Raw genomic sequence first — 14442 nt, forward strand, 5'->3', positions numbered from 1 at the left:
AGACACAGAGGCTTGCGGGCAAATAACTGAAGTTCTTGATAACTAAGCTTGATGGAGGACACAGAGAGATTGTTCAGGCTAAGAATCACCAATGGATTTTTGTCATTTTAATGATATTATTAATCTGTAAAGGTATTGTTTAGAAAACATTGCCATCATATAATTCTTGTTAATTGCTTAGGATAATAAATAATATCTGCCATTTATTATTAATCACCCATTACATGCCAGGCATTCTACTTAAATCATGTCACTTAATCCCTTCGACCATCTGGAAAGTGGCACTACTGTCCCATTTTACAGATGAAATCAAAGCTCAGAGACACTAGGGAACTTGCTCAAGGTCACACAGTGGGTAAATGTCAGAGCCAGGATTCTAATTCACATTTGTATGACACTGAAGCTCAGGCCCTTTCTATCACTTACAGTTAATGAGTGTGGATGACCCAGAGACTAAGATTGTTTCCTTCATGGCCACATCTTTAATTTCTGCCAATCTGAAAACAAAACTTCTGCACAAGCGTTAGTGTCCTTAACCAGAGCTGCTTGCCCAACACAGTCCACACCATTAAGATTCTCTACTGCAAACAGGGCTTTCGATCCTTCCCTTTTACAGTGAATTCACACTCAGTTTGACCCCAGCTCTCCAAAGCTTTCTATCTGATCTTGTTTTCTGTTTTCAATTTTCATAAGCATGTCAGATTCCTTTCTTGAATGTGAAGGGGAGGAAAAGAATCATTATATAGGCCGGGCGCGGTGGCTCACGCCTGTAATACCAGCACTTTGGGAGGCCGAGGCGGTCGGATCACCTGAGGTCAGGAGTTCGAGACTGGCCTAGCCAACATGGTGAAACCCAGTCTCTACTAAAAATACAAAAAAATTAGCTGGGCGTGGTGGCGGGCACCTGTAGTCTCAGCTACTTGGGAGGCTGAGGCAGGAGAATCACTTGAGCCAGAGAGGCATAGGTTGCAGTGAGCCATGATCACACTGTTGCACTCCAGCCTGAGCAACAAGAGCGAAACTCCATCTCAAAAAAAAAATCATTATATAAAGTCAAATATGGATACCTTTTGTTTGAATAAACATGAGAGATTAGGGCAAACACTCAGGTTAAATAGGATATGACTACTGCTTAGGGTTAAAGCATGACAATAAATATTTTTAGACAACTAACTGAAAGACAGGTCTGTCCTCTCATTTTCCTGAGACCCATATACATACTTGAACATTAAGCAACGGGTCCTGGAGAGGGAGGTAAGAAGTATTTCACATTTCTACAATTTTGCTGAAATAATCTTACATGTAGAACATACACATCATGCTTTTATTTGGAAAACCTCATTCCACATGGAGGGCATTTGGGCTGTGACGGGGTGGGCAGATGACTAAGTCGGAGTCAGAACATCTCTATTTGAGCTCTGTAACTTCCTGACTATGCAGCCTTTGGCAAATCACATAATCATTCTGAATTTCACTTTCCTAATCAGTAAAATGTGACTAACAACAGCTGTCCCTGACTACTGCAGAAGGATAGTATGAGGGCCAAATGGGAGAAGAGATGGGAAAGGGCTTTCTAAACTGTAAAGTGCTGGGCAGATGTTAAGAGTTAATGTCAACTCTTGGAGAACATCCTAGCTTTGTGTATTACTATGAGTGAGAAGGTGGCAGGCTGCGGAGGTGGTGGTGGTGTGCTAAGGAGGATACTGGCAGTTTTTATATTCAGATGCTAAATCACAGCTGTTGGGCAGGCAGAAAGCCAGGGCAAAGCCTGCTCTCTCTAGCTGCACCTGAAACCCCAGTTTCCTCTACACTATTCACTAACTGCCCTGCCTATGAGCAGGGAAGTGTAAGGCCCTTCACCTCCCACAATCACAAGCAGGAGGGAAGAAGCCAGCACTGAGCCACAGAAAGGCTGAGTCACTAATAAAAACTACCATTTATCAAATGCTTACTATGTGTCAGGCAAGATGCTAAGCATTTTACATATATGATCTTATCTATTTCTCATATCAGCAAATAAAGCTGGTCTGATTATTATCCCCATTTTACAGATGAGGAAAGTGAGAGTCAGAGAAGTCAAATGACTTGCCTACGATTGTAATTAGACAGGAGTCTCTACCAAGAGTCAAATCCAGGAGATCTGATTGTAAAACCCACATCCTCAAACACTAAGCTATACTGCAACTTCTGGTTGCAACCTCACATGCTCAGCTTCCTGCCACCAAACACAACTCCATTGGTGGTATCCAGTTCCAAAGAGAGCAAATACAGAAAAGGACTTTGGGCGCTGATGCTGGCCGGGCAACTCCATTTCCTACTCACCACGCAGACCTCCCTTAGTACAATAATGTCCTAACTTGAGGAGTGACCAGGCATTTACCTGGTAACCTGTATCTTCTCAATGGGGAAAGAAAAGGAGAGCAAAATATGTTTGTGCCTCGAGTGTCTGGCTAATAGTTGTCATAAAGTTGTTTAACTCTAGTTAGGCCACAGCAGAATTAGAGTTATAATTTATTTTTTTTTTTGAGACAGAGTCTTGCTCTGTCTCCCAGGCTGGAGTACAGTGGCTCAGTCTCGGCTCACTGCAAGCTCTGCCGCCCGGGTTCACACCATTCTCCTGCCTCAGCCTCCCGAGTAGCTGGGACTACAGGCGCCCACCGCCACGCCCAGCTAATTTTTTGTATTTTTAGTAGAGACGGGGTTTCACCACGTTAGCCAGGATGGTCTTGATCTCCTGACCTCGTGATCCGCCCGCCTTGGCCTCCCAAAGTGCTGGGATTACAGGAGTGAGCCACTGCACCTGGCCAGAATTAGAGTTATAATTAAGGCAGGACGTGCCAAGGTGATCACAGCCAAAGGTCCCACTGTGACCTGGGAATGCGGTTGTTGTTAGCAGCGGCAACAACTGGTACTTCACCCAATCCCTCATTTCCATAGATCAACACAATCTCCATCTATAGCAAACATTTACTTAGCATCTGTGGAGTGCCATGCTCAACGTCAGGTGCCAGGAACATACACATGATAAGGCACTTTGACATGAGAAAAAGCAGTAGAAGGAAGTATATAATAATAACAGATTGGTGCTTCAGAAAGTACATGAAATTGAATTCTGAAGAGGAGGTGATATGGTTTGGCTGTGTCTCCACCCAAACCTTATCTTGATTTGTAGCTCCCATAATTCCCATGTGCTGTGGGAAGGATCTGGTGGGAGGTAATTGAATCATGGGGGCAGGTCTTTCCCATGCTGTTCTCATTATAGTGAATAAGTCTCACACCATCTAATGGTTTTTTTTTTTTTTTTAATTTTTATTTTTTTTATTGATCATTCTTGGGTGTTTCTCGCAGAGGGGGATTTGGCAGGGTCATAGGACAATAGTGGAGGGAAGGTTGGCAGATAAACAAGTGAACAAAGGTCTCTGGTTTTCCTAGGCAGAGGACCCTGCGGCCTTCCGCAGTGTTTGTGTCCCTGGGTACTTGAGATTAGGGAGTGGTGATGACTCTTAACAAGCATGCTGCCTTCAAGCATCTGTTTAACAAAGCACATCTTGCACCGCCCTTAATCCATTTAACCCTGAGTGGACACAGCACATGTTTCAGAGAGCACAGGGTTGGGGGTAAGGTCACCGATCAACAGGATCCCAAGGCAGAAGAATTTATCTTAGTACAGAACAAAATGAAAAGTCTCCCACATCTACTTCTTTCTACACAGACATGGCAACCATCCGATTTCTCAATCTTTTCCCCACCTTTCCCCCCTTTCTATTCCACAAAACCGCCATTGTCATCCCGGCCCGTTCTCAATGAGCTGTTGGGTACACCTCCCAGACGAGGTGGTGGCTGGGCAGAGGGGCTCCTCACTTCCTAGTAGGGGTGGCCGGGCAGAGGCGCCCCTCACCTCCCGGACGGGGCGGCTGGCCGGGCGGGGGGCTGACCCCCCCACCTCCCTCCCGGACGGGGCGGCTGGCCGGGCGGGGGGCTGACCCCCCCCACCTCCCTCCCGGACGGGGCGGCTGGCTGGGCAGAGGCGCTCCTCACTTCCCAGTAGGGGCGGCCGGGCAGAGGCGCCCCTCACCTCCCGGACGGGTCGGCTGGCCGGGCGGGGGGCTGAGCCCCCCACCTCCCTCCCGGACGGCGTGGCTGGCCCGGCAGAGGGGCTCCTCACTCCCCAGTAGGGGCGGCTGGGCAGAGGCGCCCCTCACCTCCCGGATGGGGCGGCTGGCCGGGCGGGGGGCTGACCCCCCCACCTCCCTCCCGGACATGGGGCTGACACCCCCACCTCCCTCCTGGACGGGGCGGCTGGCCGGGTTGGGGGCTGACCCCCCCACCTCCCTCCCGGATGGGGCGGCTGGCCGGGTGGGGGGCTGACTCCCCCACCTCCCTCCTGGACGGGGTGGCTGGCCAGGCAGAGGGGCTCCTCACTTCCCAGTAGGGGCGGCTGGGCAGAGGCGCCCCTCACCTCCCGGACAGGGCGGCTGGCCGGGTGGGGGGCTGACCCCCCCACCTCCCTCCCGGACGGGGCGGCTGCCGGGCAGAGGGACTCCTCACTTCTCAGACGGGGCGGCTGCCGGGCGGAGGGGCTCCTCACTTCTCAGATGGGGCGGATGCTGGGCGGAGGGTCTCCTCACTTCTCAGACAGGGCGGCTGGGCAGAGACGCTCCTCACCTCCCAGACGGGGTCGCGGCCGGGCAGAGGCGCTCCTCACATCCCAGACGGGGCGGCGGGGCAGAGGCGCTCCCCACATCTCAGACGATGGGCGGCCGGGCAGAGACGCTCCTCACTTCCCAGATGGGATGGCTGCCGGGAAGAGGCGCTCCTCACTTCCTAGATGGGATGGCGGCCGGTCAGAGACGCTCCTCACTTTCCAGACTGGGCAGCCAGGCAGAGGGGCTCCTCACGTCCCAGACGATGGGCGGCGAGGCAGAGACGCTCCTCACTTCCCAGACGGGGTGGTGGCCGGGCAGAGGCTGCAATCTCGGCACTTTGGGAGGCCAAGGCAGGCGGCTGGGAGATGGAGGTTGTAGCGAGCTGAGATCACGCCACTGCACTCCAGCCTGGGCACCATTGAGCACTGAGTGAACCAGACTCCGTCTGCAATCCCGGCACCTCGGGAGGCCAAGGCTGGCGGATCACTCGTGGTTCGGAGCTGGACACCAGCCCGGCCAACACAGCGAAACCCCGTCTCCACCAAAAAAGTACGAAAACCAGTCAGGCGTGGTGGCGCGTGCCTGCAATCGCAGGCACTCGGCAGGCTGAGGCAGGAGAATCAGGCAGGGAGGTTGCAGTGAGCCGAGATGGCAGCAGTACAGTCCAGCTTCGGCTCGGCATCAGAGGGAGACCGTGGAAAGAGAGGGAGAGGGAGACCGAGAGGGAGAGGGGAGAGGGAGAGGCAGAGGCAGAGGCAGAGGCAGAGCCATCTAATGGTTTTATAAAGGGGAATTCCCCTACACAAGCTATCTTGCCTGCTGCCATGTAAGATGTGACTTTGCTCCTCCTTTATGTGAGGCCTCCCCAGGCTTGTGGAACTGTGAGTGAATTAAACCTCTTTCCTTTATAAATTACCCAGTCTCAGGTATGTTTTTATTAGCAGTGTGAGAACAGACTAACACAGAAGGTGGTGACAATTTGGGATGGAGTAGTCAGGGTAACTTTTATGAAGGAGGGAGTGAATAAGACTTTGAAGGATGGGTGAGACTTGACTAAATGAGAAGGGATGGGATTGAAAGCAGAAATGTCAGAAGAGATGATATTGTGGGAGAAGGTCTAGTGCAAAGATAGGTTCAAAACAAGTGAGAGTGAGCACTGGTGTGTTAGTATGCTTTCAGCTATTTGAAGTAGAAATGGCTTAAACCAATTATTTTTTTCACATAGTCCAGAGGTAAAATGGGCTTCTGAATTGCTTGATTCAGCAGTCAAAGTGTGCCATGAAAGAACCAAGTCCTTTTCATGTCTCTGCTCTGCAGTTCACAGAGTCATCGCAGAGTCAGGCAATATGCTCCCTTGTTCACATCCAACGAGAGAGATTGATTTATCTTTCCCAGAAATCGCAAACTAGCCCCTCTCTGTATGTCATTGGCTCAGGCTGGCTTGGGACCTGCTTATTCCTAAACCAATCATTGATAAAAGAAATGAAATATTTTAATTGGCTTAGACTGGTGGACTAAAACTTTAGCCTCCATTGGAGGGCTTGTAAAAACATATTGCTGCCTGCCCTACTCCAGAGTTTCTGACTCAGTGGGCCTGGGGTTGGAATTCGCATTTATGATGCATTACCATGTGATGCTGGTGCTGCAGGTCTGGGGCCACAAGTTTACTTTTTTTTTTTTTTTTTTTTTTTTTTTGAGACGGAGTCTTGCTGTGTCACCCAGGCTGGAGTGCAGTGGCATGATCTCGGCTCACTGCAACCTCTGCCTCCCAGGTTCATGCTATTCTCCTGCCTCAGCCTCCCGAGTAGCTGGGACTACAGGTGCCCACCACCATGCCTGGCTAATTTTTTATATTCTTATATTTTTATTTTTATTTTTATTTTTATTTTTTTATTTTTTTTTTGAGACTGAATCTCGCTCTGTCGCCCAGGCTGGAGTGCAGTGGCACGATCTCGGCTCACTGCAAGCTCCGCCTCCCAGGTTCACGCCATTCTCCTGCCTCAGCCTCCCGAGCAGCTGGGACTACAGGCGCCCGCCACCGTGCCTGGCTAACTTTTTTGTATTTTTAGTAGAGACAGGGTTTCACCGTGGTCTGGATCTCCTGACCTCGTGATCCGCCCTCCTCGGCCTCCCAAAGTGCTGGGATTACAGGCGTGAGCCACTACGCCCGGCCTTTTTATATTTTTAGTAGAGACGGGGTTTCACCATGTTAGCCAAGATGGTCTCAATCTCTTGACCTTGTGATCCGCCCGCTTCGGCCTTCCAAAGTGCTGGAATTACAGGTGTTAGCCACCATGCCCGGCCCCCTTTTTTTTTTCCTTTTTTTTGAGATGGAGTCTTGCTCTGTCACCCAGGCTGGAGTGCAGTGGCGTGATCTCGGCTCACTGCAACCTCCGCCTCCGGGGTTCAAACGATTCTCCTGCCTCAGACTCCTGAGTAGCTGGGATTATAGGTGTGTGCCACCATGCCTAGCTAATTTTTTTTTATTTTCAGTAGAGATTGGGTTTCACCATGTTGGCCAGGCTGGTCTTGAACTCCTGACCCTGTGATCCGCCTGCCTTGGCCTCCCAAAGTGCTGTGATTACAGGCGTGAGCCATTGCTCCCGGACCGCAACTTTCAAGACCACTATTGCAGGATAATTAATTGAGGTGGAATAGATGTTGGGGTATCAATCCATGGTCTCCTATAAATGTCCTGGTTTGCCTGGCTGAGCTGGTGTAATTATGTCCCCCTTTACTGTCAAAAGTGTTCTGGTTCTTTTCTTTTCTTTTCTTTTTGAGATGGAGGCTCACTGTTGCCAGGCTGGAGTGCATTGGCACGATCTTGGCTCACTGCAACCTCTGCCTCCTGGGTTCAAGCGATTCTCCTGCCTCTGCCTTCCGAGTAGCTGGGACTACAGGCATGTGCCACCAAGCCCAGCTAATTTTTGTATTTTTAGTAGAGACGGGGTTTCATCATGTTGGCCAGGATGGTCTCGATCTCTTGACCTCGTGATCCGCCCGCCTTGGCCTCCCAAAGTGTTGGGATTACAGGTGTGAGCCACCGCGCCCGGCCGGTTATTTCATATATAAATTATGTGATCACCTTACCACACAGGGCTTTGAGTTCAAGTCAAGGTTCTTTCACTACAAGTGAACACAGGAGAGTGAACCAGTATTGGTCAATAAAATGTGTGATTCCAATTGGGAGATCTCTTCTTTTTTCCTTGTCCAAGGATCTATAAGAGACAGAGAAAAAAGCCATCAGTATCAATCATATTTCACATTAAGTATCCTGACTGATGTGTTTTAAGGGCATTGCTTTTAATTTATATGGAAACTATTCTTATAAATATAGCTTTTGCTATCCTTTTTGCTTAACATTCTTAATAGCATGATTTGATTTATAAAAAAATAAGGCATTGATTGCAACTAATTCATTTTATGTCTTAAGTTCATTGACTTATAGTTTTACAAAAATGTGAAACGTGTATTAAGCTAAACTATCATAGTTTTAAAACATTGGTCATGGCTGAGCATAGTGGCTCACACCTGCAATCTCAGTACTTTGGGAAGCCAGGGTGAGAGGATTGCTTGAGGCCAGGAGTTCAAGGCCAGCCTGAGCAACATAGCAAGACCCTGTCTCTACCAAAAAAAAAAAAAAAAAAAAAAAAATAGCAGGCGCCTGTATTCCCAGCTATCTGGGAGGCTGAGGCAGGAAGATCACTTAAGCCCAGGAGTTTCAGGCTGCAGTGAGCTTTGATTGTGCTACTGCACTCCAGCCTGGGTGACAGAGTGAGACCTTGGCTGCAAAAAAAAACCAAAAACACACTTTGGTTATAATGCAGGTCACAGTTAAACAGAGTTCAGAAATAGTGTTTGTTGCCAAGTATTTCTGGTTCATCCAGAACTAAGAGTTTTTTATTGAAAACTAACTATATCTGGCAATCTTAGTAGAGGCCATGTAATTTCTGAGAGCAAATAGTGAATACATATTTTTGTTTTTCTTTCTTAATCTAGTTTCTTTTTCTTGTTTTTTTCTACCTAAAGGTTGCCAAAGACTAAGTTTGAAATTATCTTACATATTAGATACCTCCAATCTTGTCATGGAATTAGATGTAATCTCTTTAAGGTCTTTCTTCAGAAATTGATTGCAAGCAGTTTGGGATGCCACTTAAGAATTTGCTTAAACCACTTCCTCCCAACCCCACAAAAAATCACAAACCCAAGCACAATCCAGATGAGAATCATAAACGTCTCACTGCTCTTTGCAACAGCATGAATTGTGAAATTTTAGTTAATCCAAGAATTTTTTAATGTTGTTGTTTTAAACCTTTTATTAGATTTTCTTCTTATGCCAAAATAACCACATATGGTTCCAATCCTTCAGGATAAGGACAATTTGGGGTAAGTCTAATAGAATAGCAACATTTAAAAAGTTCAAATATGGTAGAATTGTTTTGTTTATATGGTAGAGATAAATTTTTGAGTTAGAGAGATCTAGCGGTCTTCTGTTCTAAACTTACATTCATTGTAGGAACCTCCTCAACATCCCTGAGAGAGAGGGTTCTTTAAACTGAATTATTAATTCCAGTAATAGAGAAGCTGCAGCCTGACGGGGAGGGGTGGCATTGGTTTTATTGTTGAACCGCTTTAGCTAGTTTTCTTACAGTGAGTTACACAGTGTCTCCCAGTACAGTTTGTGTTAGAGGACTATAGACTATGCTATAGACTGTACTGTACCCTCCTCAAATTGATTTGTTGAAGCCCTAACTCCCAACGTGACTGTATTTGGAGATGGGCCTTTTAGGAGGTAATTAAGGTTACATGAGTTCATAAGAATGGGATCTTGGCCAGGCACAGTGGCTCACGCTTGTAATCCCAGCACTTTGGGAGGCCGAGGTGGGTGGATCATGAGGTCAGGAGTTCGAGACCAGCCCGACCAACATGGTGAAACTCCGTCTCTACTAAAAATACAAAAATTAGCCAGTCGTGGTGGCACACACCTGTAATCCCAGCTAATCAGGAGGCTGAGGCAGGAGGATTGCTTGAACCTGGGAACTGGAGGTTGCAGTGAGCCGAGATTGCCACTGCACTCCAGCCTGGGTGACAGAGCGAGACTCTGTCTCAAAAAAAAAAAAAAAAGAATGGGATCTCTCGACGGAAAGGCCATGGGAGGACACAGTGAGAAACTGTGGCTATCTGCAAACCAAGAAGAGAGCCCTCGTTATAAACCAAATTGGCCGGAACCTTGATGTTGGACTTCCCAGCCTCTAGAACTGTGAGAAATAAACCTCTGCTGTTTAAGCCACCACTGTGGTATTTTGTTATGGCAATATGAGTAGACTGAGATAGGCTATATGTAATGCCTTTTCTTATTTTTTTATTTATTTGTTCTTGAGATGGAGTCTCGCTGTGTCACCCAGGCTGGAGTGTGGTGGCACGATCTTGGCTCACTGCAAGCTCTGCCTCCCAGGTTCATGCCCTTCTCCTGCCTCAGCCTCTGGAGTAGCTGAGACTACAGGCACCCGCCACCAGGCCTGGCTAATTTTTTTGTATTTTTAGTACAGACAGGGTTTCACTGTGTTAGCCAGGATGGTCTCCATCTCCTGACCTCGTGATCTGCCTGCCTTGGCCTCCCAAAGTGCTGGGATTATAGGCATGAGCCACTGTACCCAGCCTGTACTGCCTTTTCTATACCACATTTCTCAGCTATCAAGCCAATCCTAACACATCTATTCTTTAAAATTAAACTTCACAGGCCAGGCACAGTGGCTCATGCCTGTGGTGGATCACCTGAGGTTAGGAGTTCAAGACCAGCCTGGCCAACATGGTGAAACCCTGTCGCTACTAAAAATACAAAAATTAGCCTGGCATGGTCGTGGGCACCTGTAATCCCAGCTACTCGGGAGGCTGAGGCAGGAGAATCACTTGAACCCAGGAGGCAGAGGATGCAGTGAGCCGAGACCACGCCATTGCACTCCAGCCTGGGCGACATGAGTGAAACTCTATCTCAAAAAAAAAAAAAAATTAAACTTCATGGTGAGTTCCATTTTTCTTTATTTGATACAATTTCCAGATTGTTGTTCCAATTTGCTGCCCACTTTGAGATCACATCAGTTTGTGTCTACCTCATCAAAATGATGATGTCTAGAACTGAACATAATATTTTAAGTGAATTCTGATTAATGCAGAATATATTAAAACATTACTTTCTATGAGCTGAATTCCATATCTTCTTGTGGGCCACACATAATATAGTGTTGGTTTTGCTTTTTCAGAAAACACATTATATGCAGGTTAAACTTGTTGTCACATAAAATATGCATATTTTTAAGATGAGCTTTTTTTCTGGGCCTTGTAATCCAGTAGGCTTTTGGATTACCAAGTGTGAAACATACGAAAAAGTGCGAATGTTTAGAGGAACCAATATTTCACCATGCAGGTGTGAACTCCAAAAAAAGAAAGAAGCAACAACAAAAACCAAAAAAAAAAAAAAAAAAAGGGAGATAAGATGTTAACTCCAAGAGCTAGTTGGTTTAATGGTAAAATGAATTCTGTATTTGAAACCTGCCCTAGTACACATAACTTCGTACTCAAAAATTGACGCTGTATAAAAAACGTTAGACTGAGTGTTAGAAGAGATGAATTTAAATCCCAGCTTTATAAGTGATGAGCTAAGTGGCTCTTGGGAAGTCACCTACTCTTTCTAAGCCTGAGTCTCCTTATCTCTTTACCTGTAAGGAGTTGTAGCATACCTCTCCTAACATACAGGAAAACACATACACACAAACACATGCCACCAGTTACCATCTACTCTCACGAGTATTTTACCAAATAAAAACATTTAACACCAAAAAAAGGAAGAACAACAGAATTTCAGGATGACAATTGGCAAATATACATGCACATTTCCTTTAAGGCCTGGTGAAAACTGTCACTTACTAAAGGACCTTTTGGAAACTACTGAACTAGATCATCTCTAAGGTCTTATCTAGACCCTCAAGTTGGGTGTGGGGCATCTGAACACTGGATAGTAGTGAGATGATAGATTTGGGGGTGTAAAGTTATTCATTAATCTATTCATGTGTTAAATCAACAAATATTTATTGAATACCCACTATGTGCCATATATTTAAAAGCTGGGATATATCAATGAACAAAATAGACAAAAATGCCTGTCCTCACGGTACTTATATACTGGAGGGAAGAGACAGAAAACAAGTAGTAAACATAAAACAGAAGGCAATTATAGGCTGGGCGTGGTGGCTCACGCCTGTAATCCCAGCACTTGGGGAGGCTGAGGTGGGCGGATCATGAGGTTAAGAGAGCGAGACCATCCTGGGCAACGTGGTGAAACCTCATCTCCACTAAAAATACAAAAATTAGCTCGGCGTGGTGGCGTGCGCCTGTAGTGCCAGCTACTTGGGAGGCTGAGGCAGGAGAATTGTTTGAACCTGGGAGGTGGAGGTTGCAGTGAGCCAAGATTGCGCCACTGCACTCCAGCCTGGCGACAGAGCAAGACTCCGTCTCAAAAAAAAAAGAGGCAATTATATACAGTGTACTACTTTGGAAGATGCTGACTGCCATGGAAAACAAGAGAAAGCAGAGCAGGCAGGGTAGGCAGGGAGTCTGGGGACATTTTTCTGGTCACAGCACAGCAAGGAGCACTGGATCTCATTAACATGATAGGCACATTTTTTGGCTTCTACTTATTGCCTCAAACCTAGCCATGAGTAAATTGATTAATTTAGAAATTTATTACTTATTTCACATATTTAATATCTCTAATGCAGGGTTGTTGTAGATCATAGTAATTAATTCAGCTTGGGAAATTGTCACTGAGTTATTTATTTAGAATAACAGCTTGTGATTTTATTAGCGGTGTATCTGATTTTGAAAATGCCTTAATTCAATCAATTGATTAATCATTTATCATTTAGTCAATAAATATTTATGGATTGCTTGTTATGCAGAAGGCTGAATTATATGTGCATGTATTAAAGTTATAGCTATAGAATTATTAAGTCTAGAATTCCTGAGTGTTTATAAAGGTGGAATTAGGTGCTGTGAAGTATTACAGAGTTAAAAACGGCAATATTTTTAACCCAGAGAATATAGCGTATTTGTTTGCTAATTTGCTTTAGAATTATCTAAGAACAGGTTAGTTGATCTCACAATACTTCTCTGGTAGATAGGGTAGCATATTTTCCTTATTGCATATGTAGGCAGACTTGAGATTCCAGGAAGTTAGATGCCTTATCCTTAGTCACTTAGGGAGTGTAGTGTCGATATCGCAACGAGGACCTTAGGTTTCAGGGGTCGTTGTTTAGCAATATCTGATCTTGAGCCAGTTGGTATAAGAGGACACATACCTTTGGTTCCTGATCTCTCTGGGAGACGGGGGTCCTTTAATGTGCCCACCCAGAGCTCCCCTTCCACAGCACCCACCTCTTTCTGGATTCTACATCTTTGATGCCAAAAGGCCTCAGATTGCAAAAATTATTTGGTGCTTCAGGTCTTCTGTCTCAGCGAATGGGGTTCAGGCCTCCCTCTGGTCTAGGTGTTGGCAAGTACAGAAGGAAGGTGGAGGGGTAAGAAAGGGGGCAGAGGAAAAGGCCAAAAGAGAAACTACCATGTTCATTTCAGCTCTTTCTTCTTCCTGCAGCTCGCAGCTTACTAATTATTCTTCTCCTTCCCAATTACAGAAAAAAGAGAAAGGATCATCATAAAGAGATTCTAGAAATGTGACCTTGACCATTTAGCTTTTGGGAATGACATGTCTAGCCTTAACTTTTGGACATTTTTAGCTAGCAATTTTCAACTTGGTTACAAAATGAGCAGAAGAAGTATTATCCTATGAAGGATATTTTTTTTTTTGAGTCAAAGTCTCGCTCTGTCGCCCACGCTGGTGTGCAGTGGTGTGATCTTGGCTCACTGCAACATCTACCTCCCGGGTTCAAGCAATTTGAAGGAGATGTATTAAAAATACCTGAAGGGAGCCAGGCATGGTGGCTCATGCCTATAATCCCAGCACTTTGGGAGGCCAAGGTAGGCAAGTCACTTGAGGTCAGGAGTTCGAGACCAGTCTCGCCAACCTAGTGAAACCCTATCTCTACTAAAAATGCAAAAATTAGCCAGGCGAGGTGGCGCATGCCTGTAATTCCAGCTACTTGGGAGGCTGAGGCAGGGGAATCGCTTGAACCCAGAGGCAGAGGTTTGAGTGAGCTGAGATCATGCCACTGCACTCTGGCCTGTGTGACAGAGTGAGACAAGACTCCGTCTCAGAAAAACTTAAAAAATAAAAACAAAATAAAAATAACTGAAGGGAGGTTGTCAAAATATGGATCTCCCCCGTCTCCCAGGATCTCATTCTAGCAAAAGTTCTCAGTCTTGGCTACATATTAAAATCACCTGGAGAACATTCACAAAATGCCCAGGTATACAGCCTACCTCTAAGAGGCATTCTGAGTTCATTGTTCTGGGATATAATCCTGCTGATATTGTATTAAAGCTCCAGGTACTTTTAAGGTGCAGCCAGGATCACTGCCCCGGCAATCCTGAATTACTGACAGGAGTGTGTCCTAATCCTGGTGTGCTGCCCCCAGGTGTGTTGGAGTGTGGAGAAAAAAACTCGAGAACCATTAATCCAGTGTTTCTCAAAGGGTGGTCTGCAGAACAGCAGCATCGGCATCACCTGGGAACTTACTAGAAATGCAAATTCTTGGGCCTAACTCCAGACCTACTAATTCAGAAACTCTCAGGGTGTGACCCAGCAATCTAGGGTTTCAGGAGCCCTCAGGTGATTCTGATGCAT

The 14442-nt window shown here is 46.2% G+C and overlaps 3 annotated features.

The window, feature by feature from the left end:
• Positions 1366-1435: an enhancer, noted in NCBI's record as "active region_22560". NCBI's record gives its function as "activates an Ori minimal core promoter by ATAC-STARR-seq in GM12878 lymphoblastoid cells {active_cell/tissue: GM12878}" and the evidence as "EXISTENCE:reporter gene assay evidence [ECO:0000049][PMID:35858748]".
• Positions 1586-1715: an enhancer, noted in NCBI's record as "active region_22561". NCBI's record gives its function as "activates an Ori minimal core promoter by ATAC-STARR-seq in GM12878 lymphoblastoid cells {active_cell/tissue: GM12878}" and the evidence as "EXISTENCE:reporter gene assay evidence [ECO:0000049][PMID:35858748]".
• Positions 1846-1895: a silencer, noted in NCBI's record as "silent region_16018". NCBI's record gives its function as "represses an Ori minimal core promoter by ATAC-STARR-seq in GM12878 lymphoblastoid cells {active_cell/tissue: GM12878}" and the evidence as "EXISTENCE:reporter gene assay evidence [ECO:0000049][PMID:35858748]".

The sequence above is a fragment of the Homo sapiens genome, chromosome 5 (genome assembly GCF_000001405.40).
Source record: "Homo sapiens chromosome 5, GRCh38.p14 Primary Assembly".
NCBI classification, from domain to species: Eukaryota; Metazoa; Chordata; class Mammalia; order Primates; family Hominidae; genus Homo; species Homo sapiens.